The 16,487-nt window shown below is 44.5% G+C and overlaps 1 long non-coding RNA gene across 1 annotated transcript, besides 2 other annotated features; it reads left to right on the top strand.

Annotated features, from left to right (window-relative positions):
• The first annotated feature begins 1,403 nt into the window (after window positions 1-1,403).
• LOC124902631 (uncharacterized) lies at window positions 1,404-15,695 on the top strand. Its single transcript, XR_007062594.1, has 2 exons — window positions 1,404-1,592; window positions 15,478-15,695. It is a non-coding gene; the product is annotated as an uncharacterized LOC124902631 (long non-coding RNA).
• Window positions 5,419-5,585: a silencer, noted in NCBI's record as "fragment chr11:11278996-11279162 (GRCh37/hg19 assembly coordinates)". NCBI's record gives its function as "represses an EF-1alpha promoter that drives an FKBP-Casp9 reporter gene in an ReSE screen in K562 erythroleukemia cells {active_cell/tissue: K562}" and the evidence as "EXISTENCE:reporter gene assay evidence [ECO:0000049][PMID:32094911]".
• Window positions 15,851-16,487: an enhancer, noted in NCBI's record as "H3K27ac-H3K4me1 hESC enhancer chr11:11268094-11268730 (GRCh37/hg19 assembly coordinates)". NCBI's record gives its function as "activates a minimal SCP1, AML or CMV promoter by ChIP-STARR-seq in primed H9 embryonic stem cells {active_cell/tissue: H9 hESC(primed)}" and the evidence as "EXISTENCE:reporter gene assay evidence [ECO:0000049][PMID:30033119]".

The following is a 16,487-nucleotide window of genomic DNA, read 5'->3' as shown; positions in this document are numbered from 1 at the left end:
GTGATGAGAAGTAAAAGAAATTCCATAATTGAATGTCTGTGATGTGCATTTATATTCTACATGCTTTGACGTTTATCAAGTCTTACAATATAGCTCATGAGGTAAATATTAACTACCCATTTTATAGATGAGGAAAGGAAGAGGTTCAGATGAGATCAATAACTTACCCAAGTTCTCAGAGCTACTAAGTGAAAGTGAAATAATTCAAATTTGTATCTAGGTCTTCAGACTCGAGGACCAGTGTTGTTTTTCATATAGAATATAGGTATGTTCTGTGTGTGTGTGAGTGCGTGTATGTGTGTGAGTGAGTGAGTGACAGAGAGAGAGAGAGAGAAATCTGGGCTGGGATAGTCCAAGAATGCCACAGAGAAGGGGTGGTCATTATAACCTGGGCTTTTATGGGTGAATAGGAGTTTTCTGAACTGAAAAGGATAAGAGAATGACATGTCAGTTAGAAAGACGACTTAGGTCTGACTTAAAGTAATAGTAAAGGAAGGTGAGGAGATAAATTATCAAGCATGGTGAATGACTGGCTATGATGAGTGAGAGACAGAAAGGCATATACTTAGAACATGGTCACTTCCCTTCACCTGGTATCTCTTGGCAGTGAGGGGATCTGTCTCACATCTGCCCCCGATCTTCCCTCAGCTCTCTCCAGGATGCTGCCTCATCCACCAGCTGAGGCTAGAATAGGCCAGCTGCCTCACTTTAATTCTCCATGCCTCCACCACACAAGGCTGTCAGGTAGACCAGACCTCCCTGACATGTTAGTGGTAGCAAAGGCAAATCACAGATGTGGGAGCAGGCCAGGTTTTCCATTCATGCTTGCTTTATAAAGCTTCCTCGTAGTTCAAGGGGAAATATACAAATATGAAGGTTAATCCTTCACAGGGTGTCCACCCCCTCATGGACAAAGCTCAGCTCAGAGCCTGAGTCTCTGGTCCTCGGACCTGCCCTCTGGGAGAGTGTCCCCTTCTGCAATCTGTATGAAGACACACGGTGTGGCTCTCCTTCCCACCGACATGTCTAGAATTTAAAAGATCACCTCCTACACACCCCAGTTACCAATGCAGCCTCCTCCCGTCTCCCCTGACTGGTCCTAATCCCCTCCACTCCAGGGTTTCTCAACATGTGATCCACCCCTACCTGCATCTGCAGCTGGGGTCACTGGTGTTTGTAAGATGCAAATTTGGGAGCCCCTGCTGCAGATCTACCCAATCAGGATCACCCAGCTAACGCTTTCTAGTCCCTTGGGATTCAGCTTAAAATACCTCCTCTGAAAGTGTCCCTGAGCCTCCAGGGTGAGACTGGGGCCCCCTCCGTGCCCTTCTGTAATTGGTTATCTGCCCTGCCGGACTGAGCTCTGTGACAGCAGTGATTTTGCTTCCTTCCTGTGTTCTAGCACCCACTCCAGCACCTAGAGGAGAGCAGGTAAACCAAAGGAAGGGAGGAAGGGAGGAAGGGAATGGCATGACCATGCTTGGCTGCCTTCCTCCCAGCGCGTGAGGATTTGGACCAATTCTTCTTACCCTAAACTCAGCCTCTGAGTTTCAGAGTAACCCTGACTTGCAGAGTTCCAGACATGGAACCAGGTAAGTATAGGGAGGATCATCCACTGCAGTTCCTGATTAACAATGCATCTCTACTGGGGCCACAGCCTTGCTAGACCTGGGCCTGGAATCCCTGTTGGCCTTGCCAGGCCCCTTCCCCTTGGGACTGAACACTTGGTCTGGCTGCAGAATAATCCTTCCCTGGGACTCTGCTCCCACATCGACCCATCCTTAAAATCTTGGGACTCCCACCCCTCTGTAAATAAAAGAAGATCAATATCAGCTTTGCCCTGAGTGAGAGTGTGTGTGTGCGTGCGTGTGTGTGTGTGTCTGTGTGGAGGGCAGGCATGAAGCATGTGAGTGCAGGGTGGTATGCTGGCTTGTGCACATGTGCATATGTGCATAAGGGTGCTGTTGTTATCCCTACGGGTATTTCAGAATGTGCTGTGGAATGAGTGTTTCTGTCTGTGATACATGTATATACAGCCAGGGGTTTTTATGTGTGTATGCACAAGGTAGTTTTTCTGACATTGGTATGATTGAGCTTGTTTTTATTTCCTTTATGTTTATTTTATCTGCATTCAACTGTTCTTTGCAGAGGCTCCACAGATCTCTTGAAACCATTTATTTACCTATACTGTCCTTCCTGCTAGGCAATGAGAGCCCTGAAGGCAGAGACATTACGTGATTTGTCTTTGTATCCGCAGCTTCTAGCACAGTGCCTGACATGCCTGCATGTGTTCATTCTTTCATTCCTTCATTCAACATATATGCATCCATCTTCTAACTGTGTGCTGTATGTTGGGGACACAACCATGCATGAAGAGAGACACAGTCACTGCCCTCATGGAGCTTAGAGTCTAGTGGAAAAGACAAATACTAATCAAATAATTAAATAATGTAAAAGTGCAACTGTACAAAGTACTAAGAAAGGGACATACGGAGGCCAAGATGGGTGGATCACCTGAGGTCAGGAGTTCGAGACCAGCCTGGCCACATGGTGAAACCCTGCCTCGACTAAAAATGCAAAAATTAGCTGGGCATGGTGGTATGTGCCTGTAATCTCAGCTACTCAGGAGGCTGAGGTGGGAGAATTGCTTGAACCCGGGAGGCGGAGGCTGCAGTGACCTGAGATTGCACCACTGCACTCCAGCCTTGGTGACAGAGCAAGACCCCATCACAAAAAAAGGGGGGGACACACAGAATCCTGACAGAGTATAAAAGGCAGATTAAACTAGTCAGGGAAGTGAGAGGTGGATTCCGAGGAAATGACACTTAAGCTGACGTGCACATGAGAAGGCACGACTGGAGGATAGAGGCATGTCCTTCCATTCTGCATAAATAGTCCATGGAGTGGCAGTGAGAGGACCTGTAGGAAAGCTCATTGTGGGGAGCCAGAGGAGTGAAGGGGCACTATGGGAAAGATGGGGGTGGAAGGTGGCTGGTACTGTCCCATGCAGGGCCTCTATATGCTTTGTTAAATATAGAGTCCTTCTCTTCCGAGTGAGGGAAGCCACTGAAAAGTTGTAAGCAGGCAGATGACAGGATCAGTTGTATTTGATGGCTAAATAGATTTGATAGGATGAAGGCAAACCCAATCCATGGGTAGACCAGATAGCAGGTAGGAATGATGGTAGCTTGGACTAGGCTCATGGCAGTGAAGATGGAGAGAAGAATAAATTTCAGAGGCATTTAGGAGGTAGAGTAGATAGATCATAGCAGGAGCTTGAATATGGAACCTGAGCAAGACAGAAGAGTAGAGGACAGAAAGAGGCACATTCACTGGTCTAGAGAACACTTCAAGAGAACCAGTTTGGAAGGCAAGAGGCTGAACTCATTGTCTTAAACCTATTGAGTTTGGGAGCGCTTTGAGATGTCCAGATGAAATGTCAGAAGAATCTGACAGTAGGATATGTGGGTCTGGAGTGTGCACAAGGCAGGCGATTAATAATCGTGTCCTAAATTGATGTTCCCAGCTTCTTGCTCCCTTGCACCATTTCTTTTCATCAAGAGAGAATGATGGTTCTTAGAAAATTTAGAAATAGACATGACTCACCTTGGATAGAGGCTTCGGAAATGAGAAGGCTCTATAAACCCAAGTCATTACAAACTACCAGGTGTACAGAGTTTTACAGCTCACAAGGGGCTCTAACTCATTTGAGCTTCACAATAACCTGGGATTATTACATCCATTTGAGGTTACATGGCTTGTCCTGAAAAATCATGTATTGGCTCAAGTGTAAACTACTTTCTTATTATCATCTGCTTCTGGAAGAATTGGGACTGCAAAAAGCCTCCCTTACGAGACACGTCAATTCAATCCACTTTACATATATCCTTAAGCACAAATTGAAAAGGCAAGGAAGGGGCTTTGGAGGCACATAAGACAGTCCCTGCCCTTAAGGAGATCAGTCTATGGGACAAGAGTCTTCACTGATTATAATATAAGAAACAATGTGGTGAATGCTATATGAACCCCTTTTAAGTCATGTTTTCCTGATTATGAAAATAGTAAATGTCTAGTGCAGACAAATGCATACTTAAGCAGGTTTTAGGTGGAGTTTCTGTAATTTGCAATCAAAAGAACCTTTGCCAGCTGCAGTGGCTCACACCTGTAATCCCAGCACTTTGGGAGGCTGAGGCAGGCGGATCACCTGAGGTCAGGAGTTCAAGACCACCCTGCCCAACATGGCAAAACCCCGTCTCTACTAAAAATGCAAAAATTAGTCGGGCATGGTGGCACATGCCTATAGTCCCAGCTACTCTGGAGGCTGAAGCAGGAGAATTGCTTGAACCCGGGAGGCAGATGTTGTAGTGTGCCAAGATAGTGCGACTGCCTGGGTGACAGAGTGAGACTCCTTCTAGAAAAAAAAAAAAAAAAAAAAAGAAAAAAAAAAACAAAACACTGACTGATGAAGTTATTTTGAGAATTGAATCAATTAAATTCTATGAAGTGCTTAACACAGTACTGTACCTGAAATAGAGTAAGTATTTGATTAATGTATTAATGTTAGCAGCTCATATTCTTATTCAATTTATTAGAACAGTGGGGCCAGCCACACAGAAGGCTTTTTACACAAAATGCTGAAAAGCTTCCTGGGAGAAAACTGATGGTAAGGGAAGAGAAATTCAAGCACTCAAGGCTAGTTCGGTAAGAAAACCTTAGTTGGTGTTTGCCAGTCAGAATGGTCTTCAGCTCAGCTCCATGGTAAGGACAGGTTGCCTGCTCTGCGGAGGAGGGGTAGGGTGAGACAGAACAGGGACAAATGCACGTAAAGCCAGAAGTTTCTGACACCACCCTAGAAGATGTTGGGTCAAAGGGCTTAGGATGACGGCTAACGGAGCTGAGCCCAGGAAGGAGAGAGAGAAGGCCTCTATTATTTTGAAAAACACACAAACAAACAAAAACACACCATGAACCTTTGTTACTTTGAGGCATCCCACACTGAAAGTTCAATTAGAACTAGTTTACTGAGGGGTTCAATACCCCAAAATAAACAAGTTTCATATCTTTATAGCCTTGGTTCTAAGTACTTAATAGAGCAGGCCCTGCGGGGGTAGGAAGAGGTATAAAATCCAAGTTCTGCCTCAAGGGTTAATCACCTGAATAAAAAGTCTTATTTATTTTTAACTCACCAAAGTATACCAATAGCATCTCTGGTTTCCTCATATTAGAGCTAATGGATCTTCATAAAATTTTAAGCATGACTGAGCTCCTATGACCCATTTTGTTACCCTACTGAGTTAACCAGTGCCTCTATGACATGCTGAGAATTGCCATTTGAGAAAGAACTAAACGTGTTTGAGCTGACACTTGTATCATTTTCTATCTCCCATGTTGGTCTTCATGGGAACAAAGGCCGTAATGAAACCCACTCAAGTTTTAGAAGCCTTTGTTGGAGATGTACCTATTGACCCCTTCTCTTCCAATGGAGACATCCCTTGCCTCGCTCATCTCTGAGTCCTGGACCAAGCACCTCTTTGCAGGGCAGTGGGGGTACAGGCAAGGGCTCTCATTTGTCTGAATCACCTTTCACCTCTTCTCCCTAGTTCTCTCTTGAACCATCAGCAAGAGAATTCAGGTCTCAGCTCTTGACTTTGTTAGCTCTCCCTGCTACCCTGATATCAAACATTCCTTCGTCTATGAATAGCCAAAGCATCCCCCCATAATTCCTTGTATAAACTCCTTGTGTCGACCCTTTGTTTCAACCCTGGGTCTGAACAGTTTCATCTCAGACATTTGACCACTCTGAGCATAGCTAGGTTCTCTTAAGCTTCAGAAGGATAACAGTCTGGACAGTAGTTAAGAGCAAGGATCAAAAAAAATTGTAAGAGAACAGCATGTACAAGTAGATAACAATACTTTGTAAAACCTAGAGAAAGTGCACAATTTTTTAGTAAAATACAAATTTACCTAAATTGACCCAAGAAGAAATCAAAATCCTGGGTGACCATGAGAAAAAATTGGAAAGACTTTGAAGAACTTGCATTAAAAAAGAGCTAAGGCCAGGTGGTTTAACACCTGAATTCTATCTAACCTTTGAAAAACAGATAATTTCTGATGTTAAAAATATTCCAAACCACACTAAAAATGGGAAAAAAATCAATTTATCTCATGAAGTTTATATAAGGTTAGTATTAAAAGTTAATAATGACAGCACAAAAAGATAGACTAGAGACCAGTCTTACAGATGAATATAAATACAGAAATTATCAATAAAATATTAATGAATAGAAACCAATGTAACCAAAAAAGTTACAATGACTAAGGCGGCATTACTTGAGGAATGGAAAGTTGTTTCAATATGAGGAAATCTATTAAAGTCGTCCACTATGCCAAAATATTAAAAGATAACCATAGGATTATATAAGTAGATGCTGAAAACTCATTTAATAAAATTTGAGATATTCCCAATAAAGACATAAAGAAAGAAAAAGAAGAAAGAGAAAGAGGAAGAGAAACATTTTTCTTAACTGGGAAACACTAAAGACATTGGAATTAATCTTTAAAGCCACAGTGATCTAATTTTTGTGACACACACACACACACATACACACACTGCCAGTGGAGTAGGAATGGACTAATAAACCAATGGAGCGGAATAGGGAATCCAGAAACAGATCCTACCATGAGAATTTAAAAATATGACAAAGATGATACTTTAGTAGGATGTACTTATTGTCCCCTTCTCCTCCAATAGAGACATCCCTTGCCTCGCTCATCTCTGAGTCCTGGACCAAGCATCTCTTTGCAGGGCAGTGGGGGTACAGGCAAGGGCTCTCGTGTGTCTCAATCACCTTTCACCTGTTCTCCCCAGTTCTCTCTTGAACCATCGGCAAGAGAATTCAGGTCTCAGCTCTTGTTGACTTTCTCAGCTCTCCCTGGCACTTAGACTGGCACAACTGTCTATCCATTTGGAAAATAAATAAGTTGAGCCCTTATGCTCTGTACAAAAATAAATTTCATACTTGGTTGAAAACTTTTATGTAAAAAATAACAATAATTATAAAAGCCATAGAAGAGAGTTCTTAGAGACTACATATAGAATCGAGGTGTTGGGTAGACCTTCTTAAGAAAAAGGACATTAATACAAAAAAGAAATTTTTGAAATACAAAAATTTGTAACTTTTATATGGTAAAAAGTATTATAATTGAAACCCATAAACAAAATAACAGATTTGGAAGGAAGTATTTGTGATACAAATAGCACATAAAGTATTAACATCTATAAAAGAAATATTCTTAAGAAGAAAGGCAACCCAAAATTAACTGGACAAGCAAATAAATAGGCAAAAAACAGAAAATGAACTAAATTCTGGCAAGTATATAAAATGATGTTAGAACTCCTTCATGGTCAAGAAATTGAAAACCAAAATAAACAATTAGATACCACTTCACACTCACCAGACTAACAAAATGAAAGCAAGTGTAATGGCTGGTGCAGATGTGGGAAAGAGGTGCACTCATGCATTGCTGGTGGAAGTGTGAATTGCCATAGCCTTTTTAGAAATCAATTTGGCAATATCTGTTTCAAGTAAAACTACCCAAAACTTCAAATTTGGAAATCTATCCTCTAGAGAGAAAAATTCTGGTCAACTGAGACAAATATAACAATATTTATTGCTGCATTGTTGGTAGTGGTAAAAGAAAAACAAACAAAAAATGACCACCTATCATGGAGGGATGGGGAAGAATTTATGATATACCCCTACGGTGAAATATCAGATGACCTCTGAAAATAGCAATCTAATTGATTTGGAGGGACTTTATGAGGTCAGTTGGAGAATTTCTGTGAGATATTGTGAGCAAGAAAAGATGTCTATACTGTACAACCCATTTCTGATGGAGTGGACTATATGTATGGAGAAAAATGTAGAAGGATCTATCCCAGGTCATTAATCAAGGTTGTGGGGAAGATGGGTGGGGTAATATGGGTAAGGAGGAGGAGAGAGTGAGAAAGAGGTAAACAAAAAGAAAAAGAAGAGAGCATGGACTCTGGATTTGCACCGTGTGGCAGCCTCTCTGAGGTTTTTCTTCATCTATGAAATGGAGATAACAGTAGGAGTCTCGGCAGAGAGCTGTGATGATTCGTACCTGGCACTCAATAGTTAAACTTGTTATCGTCATCATCAGGTCATGGTGGTTATTCCAGAGTCCAGGGGCACCTGACTGTGCCACTCCCATCCGTGGCCAGTCCCAGGCCAGAAATCTCAGGCCTGAGGGGCTCCACCCACCCCTAAGCTGGGTGCCCCTCCTGGAAAGCCCAGCTGCAGAGGGGTTCATGTACTCTCCTCCTTTCTTACATCCCCAAACACAAGCCCACAGGTCCTTGCCCTTTAAGGCTATTATTGCTCCTGATTAGAAGGAAGTTGGCAGGAGGTAAGGGGCAGGGAAAAAGCTGGGGCCATGACCAAGGCTCTAAAATCTCATCAATTTTGCCTCATCTCAGCCCCCTAGTCTCCAGTTCTGGATACATTTTTCTAGAGGGTACCTGGAAGCCCCTCTGAACTCCTAAGGCAAGCCTCCCTCCGCAGTCTCCCCTGGGTCTGACTGACCTCTCCTTCCTGTACTAGAATCTATGCAGATGCCTGTCTGCCTCCACCTGAGTGCTATGCTGGATGGACAGCCAGAGGAGTCCTGTGGCTGCCTCTGTGTCCCTTCTGAGATAAAGGGCCTGAACCAGGGCTTTCCTTCCTAAGAGACCCTGGGTTGGGGCTGTTTTCAGTGAAGTCAGCCTGTAGCTCTGGCCACAGTGGATTGAAAGGGACAACGGGTACACAAGCAGAGGGCAATGGCCCCTGGGCCAGAGGCAAGCAGGGCCCTTTTCTTGTTTCAGAGTTTCCTCCTGATCGCGGTAGGAAAACTCCCACATAGACCAATACAGAAAACGCTCTTAATTTAGTGAAAGGGTTTCGTTTTTCTCCAACCACTGCCTTCAACCTTTTGAATCTACCTCTCCAATCTCTTAACAACATCTTGGGCAGAAACTAGAGCCATCTGGTCACTTTGGGTTATAATTTTTGTTTAATCCAGTCTTAGGGCGTCTAGTTTAAAGCATTCATCTCATATCCTTCCCCTTCCCTAGCTCAGACCTGCCCCCGGCCCAGGACACCTGCAGGCAGAAGGGTATGTGGCCATTCTTCCACTCCTCCTCCACCTTCTCCCCACCCTCCTTTCCCATTGAGTCAGGGCTGGGAGAAACACTGGGGGAAGGGGCCAGTGTCTCTTGCCAACTCGTGCTGCTGTGCACCTTCCTGGAGTCAGCACCCTCTGAGAGGCAGGCATGTGACCAAGTTTGCTCCCTTTCCTCTCCTGCCTGCAGTGACACACCCCACAATCTCTTGGGTGAGGTGTTGGGAAGGTAGCACCAGCCAAGCTGCCTTTTCAGGATCCTCTTGACCCACGGGACGTCCACTTCTTTCCCACACCAAACAGGGGAGTAGGAGCTGTACCTCTTCTACCTCCTCCCTGCCTACCATCTCCCTCCACTCCCCGCCCCCCTTCTCCTGTCAACATAGATGGCTCTGGTGCCCCAGTGTCCTAGTAGGAATCCACTCAGGGCATGAGACAGCAGTCACCCATTTCCTAGGGCCCCACTGTTTTCTTGGAGACCCGTTCATTTGACTGGGGGAAGAGTATAGAACACTCCTCCTCTCCTCTCCCAAAAGGAAGAGAAGTCACAGTACTCTGCCTCTATGTTAGCAATTCACAGCCCCAAAGAACTTGTATCTCCTGCTATTGCAGACTGGTAGTGCTGGAGTGATGTCCTGAAAGAATGGATCCATCGGTCCCATTTAGGAATATGCAGATATATAGCACCTATAGATTTCAGCCTTGGTTCTTCCAATTCCAAGAAAATGGGTGGAGTCCCATTTAACAAATTATTACCAAAAAAACCAAAATAGGTCCTCTGCCTAATGACATTGAGTTATGGGTTCTCTAGGAATCTGGTGGCTCAGTCTAGTCTCAGAAACCCTGGGATAGAGGGAAGTTGTATCAGTTGGAGAGACATCCCAAGCTACTCCATATTCACATGTACACTCATAATAACCCTGCACCGCAGCTTGTTTGTGCCTGTCTCCTCTTGTGACCTCACAAAGCCTGATCCATCCAGGCTCCCCATCCCTGTGGGTGCCCTGCCCCACACTGATAGCCAAGATCCCTGGGAGGTCGGCCTGGGTGTCAGCGGGTATCTCAGTGCTTCTGCCCTTTGCTCTGGTTAGGGGAACCTTGGAGGCAGCTGTCCTAGATATAAGATATGACCCTCACGTTCTGGACTCTTTCTGCCTGGGTCCTCAGCACACCAGCTGCCGCAGGCACTCGCCTGCCATCCCCAGAGCAGAAGACCACACATAAGATGACATCACCAGCAGGTGCAGACGGGGCCTACCAGGTGTGCAGCCAGCCCTGCCTGGGGAAGGCCTTACCAGATGGGAGGCTTCTCATCTGTCACTGTGGCAGTGCTGATGGCACATCTTCAAATGGTATCTCTCTGAAACTAAGAGATGGCCGTTTAGCTGCAATACACAAACCCAATTTGGGAACCCAAATGACACCACCTGAGTCTCCATGGCAGGAATTATGGCTCTTGAATCAGGCACAATCTGCAGAATAAGTGAAATCGTCAACACAGGAAAATGTGTTTGAAAACATGATGTGATCTATAGTTAAAGCTTGTAAATTCTGCATCCACCTCAGAAATATTCTACTTCCAGAGCAATTTCTTCACTAACTAGCTGTCTCTTAAATGGACTGTATGTCTTTTTCATTACGGCATCTGCCCTGCCTCCGTTGGCAGCAGTTCCCAGCTGCTGGGCCCGTGGATCTCTCACTCTAAAGCCAGCACTACCCCAGGTCCCTGATCAATTCCCCTGCCTCAGCCCCAAACCACTAAAGGCTCCAAAAGAAGCCTTCTCTGACACCCTCAGGATGTGTTGCTCCCGACCATAGCCAGACTGCAGCTATATCTTGGAACCATGAACCCCAGCTCCTTCCAGCAAGCCCCTATTCCAGACACCCTCTTTAGCCTCAGTGTCTGTGCCTATATTGGTCCCTAATGCAAACTCACAGTCCAATAATTTCGAGTGCTGAGGGCTCAGCATACCTTGCTGGCAACATTATCCCCTGCAACCTGCCATCTAACTGCCATGTGGATTTTTGAGCACCACCTACTGGATTCCCACCATTGTGCCACACTGGGATTCATTCATTAGTTCATGCATTCACTCACTTATGCAAGAAGTACTTCTAGAGCACCTACTAAAGCCATACTGTGCCCTAGAGATACTACAAGGTAAACAAAATGACAATTTCTGCCCTCAAAGGCACCGGGCCAGGACAGCCACACAAGGCTCAACATGTGACAAACACGGTGTCCTCAGTTTCTGCATGTGCAGAATGGGGTAGTGAAACAAAGGTTTGTCATGGGAAAGCCTTCAGCCACCATCTAAGGAAGTGGCTGCCAGTAGAAAGTCAATGTCAACTTGGCTCTCCTGGGACTTGTAATAAGAAAACTGAGGCACACACGGTAAATGGAAAGAACCTGCTTCTCCCCAGAACTGCTATTGTTTGCAGCAAGAAAGGCAGCTGGAAAACAGTTACTGGAATTCTGCAACAAAACTAAGGCTATATCATCTTCAGGTACTAGTAGGACGTAGGGTGAGGAAGCAGGAAAATTCAGGAATAAGATGCGACTTTTTTTTGAGAGATTCTACAGACGATCTAAGCAGCATTCTCAACCTGGGTTACACACTTACAGTCTCCTGAGGATATTTTTAAAATCATGACGCCCACACCAATTTAATCCGAACTTTCAGGCATGGGATTCAGGCATCAACATTATTTAAAGCCCCCACTGAATAAAGGCAAGACTCCATCCCTTCTGTGGAAAGCTTTATGGCTCCAAGTGAAGGTGAATGTGGCAGTTGAGATCCCCATCGGCCAAATGTTAGCAGCTCATCACAGGTTCTCTGCTTTGGGGCAGGAGCCACCTGGGAAAAGGGGGCACCATCAACTGGCCAATGAGAAGTGTGTGTGACTATTGCCAACAAGGTCACGGAACACCTGACCCACCTCCCTTCCAGCCTGGCAGAACTTAAGCTTAGCTTTAAAACCTCAAAGGCAATATTTACAGATAGGAAGCTGAAGGTGTTTGATCCACAGAGAGGTGAAGCAATTTTGAAGACCACAGATGTTGCTGACAATGTAAATGCCTTTGAGGGCAGAACAGAAACACCACAAACAGAGCATGGCCACTGGGACAGAGTCAGCTCATTTGTACCTGGTGTCGGACAGCAAATATTCTCCTCAGGGTTGCATCATCCATTACAACAACCCCGTGGCTACTCTGCACATGCCTGAAGCCTAATAGCAGAAAATAGCAATGCTTTGAAGCAGAAATTCCTGGGATTGAAATCTTTCTTGTCACTCACTAGCTCTGAGTCTAACTACCCCCTCTGGGATTGTCTCTGTAAAAGGGGTTCATGAATTCATTTAATAAATATGTATTGAGCATCTACCATGTGCCAGGCATTGCTTATGGTACAGGGATGGAGGACAGAACTACGTAAATGAACACCCCTGTTTTCTTGGGGCTTGCATGTTGTTTAGGGGAAACAGACAATAGACAAGTTACACACACACACACACACACACACACACACACACACACACACACACACGTATTATATACATATGGCATGTTAGAAGTGCTGTGAAATTATATAAAGTAGGGAAAGGGGATAGAGATGCCAGGGGCGAGCAATTTTATAGGGTGTTCAAGGGATATGTTCCTGAGAACGACTTCTGAGCAACCTGAAGGAAAAAAGGTAGCAAGCCAGACTGAGGGTTCACGCAGACAAAGCAGCATGTGCAAAGGCCCTAAGGTGAGGAAGTACCTGGGGTGTCATGCTTGAGAATAAAGTTATCTACCCTCTAGTGTTGATAAACACACACATATAGGTATATATATGCATACAAATAGATGTATGTACAGTCAGCTCTCCATATCTGTGGGGTCCTCATCTGTGGATTCAACCAACTTTGAGTCAAAAATATCTTTATCATGTATATATTACATATATACTTCAACAGAGATGAGGTCTCACTATGTTGCCCAGGTTGGTCCCACATTCCTGGCCTCAAGTGACCCTCCTGCTTTGGCGTCTCAAAGTGTTGAGATTACTGGTGTGAGCCACTCTGCTGGGCCAAAGATATTTAAGAAATCAATGGTTGCATCTATACTGAACATGTAAAGACTTTTTTCTTGTCATTATTCCCTAAACAATACAGTATAACAATTATTTACATAGCATTTACATTGTATTGGGTATTCTAAGAATCTTGTGATGATGTAAAATATACAGGAGGATGCAAATACTATGCCATCTTAGTACAGGAACTTGAGCATCTGTGGATTTTGATACCCTTGGGAGTTCCTGGAACCAATCTCCATACTGAAGAGCGACCATATAGGTGTATATGTGTGCATATGTGTATATGTATGCATGTGTTAGTGAGTTAAATTCAAGTGACAAAGAATCCCAGATCTCAGTGCTTCACAGCCTGACATGGGTCAGATTCCTCTACCTCCAAGCAGCATTCAGTATTCTTGTGTTCCCACACTAGCATTGTCTCTGCCACAGCCCCTTTGCAACAACTTGGTAGAATCATTGCTAGTTAAAGTTGAGAGAAGGACCTGCAGTCAGCACAGGTAGAAAAAAACCCTAGATTAGACCACTCCTCAGTCATTCATATGTTAGCATGTAGCACCTCTGAACACGAGCGATGAAGTCCAGGCTCAGGATGAAAGTCATGGTGAGGATGAATGTTATCACACGTGAGGTTCTATCCTGATTTGATTTTGCCTGGGATTTCAGAGGCTATGTGGAAGTTTTTGCTCAAGTGCTGATATAAGATTATCCAAAAATACACCTTTTGGATCGGATATTCCACTAGCCATTGATTGGACTAGAAAGCTCTTGATTAGCTAAACAGCTCAACTCTGGGACCAGCCAAAGGGAGTATATCCCAGAGCAGGAAGGTAGCATTCCTAGGTCATGTTCTGTTCACAGCTGGTTTTACATATATGAAAGTTAATAGTCCAATATCTTCAGAAAGTAGAGAATGTAGGCCAATATGTTTTTGGTACTGAAGCAATTTACCTTGGATCCCAGCTTAACCTAATAATCCAGCTCATCATCACTATTGAAACTGAGGCCATCAACACTTTGGTAGAGACTTCTTGTCCTATAGATACCCTAATCCAGGGACTAGCCTCACCCATGCCCAGACACTCTCCAGCCTGAGCACACTGTAGTCACCAAATTCCGGCTATAACTAATTGAGGTGATCCCATAATACTTCATCATGGTGTCATCTCTGAGAGCTCTTGGACCACACAAGCTGTGTCTCAGGACTATCAGAGGAGAGAATGGGGGAAGGATGTATTCAATGGCTTTTATCTTTCATTGGCCAGTATTTTATTTTACGGGATGTTAACATTCTTGTACTTCTATGTTCCACTTGTGTGATGCAGAGTAGGGTTTTACAATGGCATCAACGGAGAGGTCCCAGGGTAAAAGGCAAGCAGTACATGAACATATCTCAGTTGAGAAACTGTTAAGTTGTACCTGTGTAAAATTGATTAAAGCCCATTGCTATGGTCTGAATGTTTGTCCCTTCCAAAACTCATGTTGATATTTAATTGTCATTGTAACATTCTTAAAAGGCGATTAGGCTACAAAGGCTCCACTCTCAGGGGTGTCGTTTATACCATTATACAAGGGTGAGTTCAGCCCCCTCTTTCTCTCTCTCATCCCCTTACTTCCTGTCATGTGATGCTAGCAAGAAGGTCCTGACCAGATGCTGGCACTTTGATCTTGGGCTTTCCAGACTCCACAACCATGAGCCAATAAATTCTGTTTATTATAAATTACCCAGTCTTGGGTATTCTGCTATAGCAGTATGAAACGGACTAAGACATCCATGCAGCACTGGTCATTGCAACAGTTGCTGCAATAAGAGAAAGGTGACACTGAGAAGTAGTGCATAAGCGGTGTTTAATTCATAGAAACTTAGTGGTTTCTATTGCTATTATTTTCATTATCATTATGAGCTAGGCACAGATATTCTTGAACATGGGCCTCTACCCTGGAGTCTGGTGCTCTGAAGTTTGACCTTGGGCCAGAGTTCAGGCACTCTCCAGAGGACTTACATTTCTGATGCCAGACATAACCTGACAGAGTAAAAGCTGTCTTTTATAGCCTTACCTGGACTAACACACCCCAATGGCTTTGTTCCTTAACAGTTGGCTCATTTGCCCCCATTGTGGGCACAGCATGAAAACTAAGATGCCTCAAAAATGGTAAGGATATTGGTGCCCACGCTTGTAAGATTTCATGTATTTTTTTTCATTGTGTCTTGCAGGTAGCTGGTAATGAGAGCTAAGAGGAGAAAGGATGGGGGATGGTGAAGCTGGGTGTGATGAGAAGCACACTGGACTTCAAATGAGACCATTTTTATTGAAATTTCAGCTGTGCCTTTTACATGCTTTGTGACCATGGGCAAGTTACTTACCTGACCTCACTGAGGATTCTTTCCTCAATTATAAAATAAAGCAGAAATGCCATCTGTTTGTGAGAAAACATAAGTTATAAAGCCCAGCACTTCACCTGACACTAAGTACCTACTTTGCAGGGGCATTCTGGCTCCAGTTAAGACAAGGGTGGGTGTGTGTATGTGTGTGCATGTGTGAGAGAAAGAGACAGAGAAAGACACACGCACACAGGAGAGAGAGAGAGACACACACACACGGAGAGAGAGAGAGAGACACACGGAGAGAGAGAGAGAGACACACGGGGAGAGAGAGAGACACACGGGGAGAGAGAGAGACACACGGGGAGAGAGACACACGGAGAGAGAGAGACACACGGAGAGAGAGAGACACACGGAGAGAGAGAGAGAGACACACGGAGAGAGAGAGAGAGACACACGGAGAGAGAGAGAGACACACGGAGAGAGAGAGAGACACGGAGAGAGAGAGACAGAGAGAGACAGACAGAGAGAGACAGACAGAGAGAGACAGAGAGACAGACAGAGAGACAGACAGAGAGACAGACAGAGAGACAGACAGAGAGACAGAGAGACAGAGACAGAGAGACACAGAGACACAGAGAGACACAGAGAGACAGTCAGAGACAGACAGAGACAGAGACAGACAGAGACAGAGACAGAGACAGAGACAGAGACAGACAGAGACAGACAGAGACAGACAGACAGAGACAGACAGACAGAGACAGACAGAGACAGAGAGACAGAGACACAGAGAGACAGAGACACAGAGAGACAGAGACACAGAGAGACAGACAGACAGAGACAGACAGAGACAGACAGAGACAGACAGAGACAGACAGAGACAGACAGAGACAGACACAGAG

The sequence above is a fragment of the Homo sapiens genome, chromosome 11 (genome assembly GCF_000001405.40).
Source record: "Homo sapiens chromosome 11, GRCh38.p14 Primary Assembly".
NCBI classification, from domain to species: domain Eukaryota; kingdom Metazoa; phylum Chordata; class Mammalia; order Primates; family Hominidae; genus Homo; species Homo sapiens.
The sequence above is the reverse complement of the archived record's forward strand: the minus strand, read 5'-3'. Positions and strand labels throughout refer to the sequence as shown.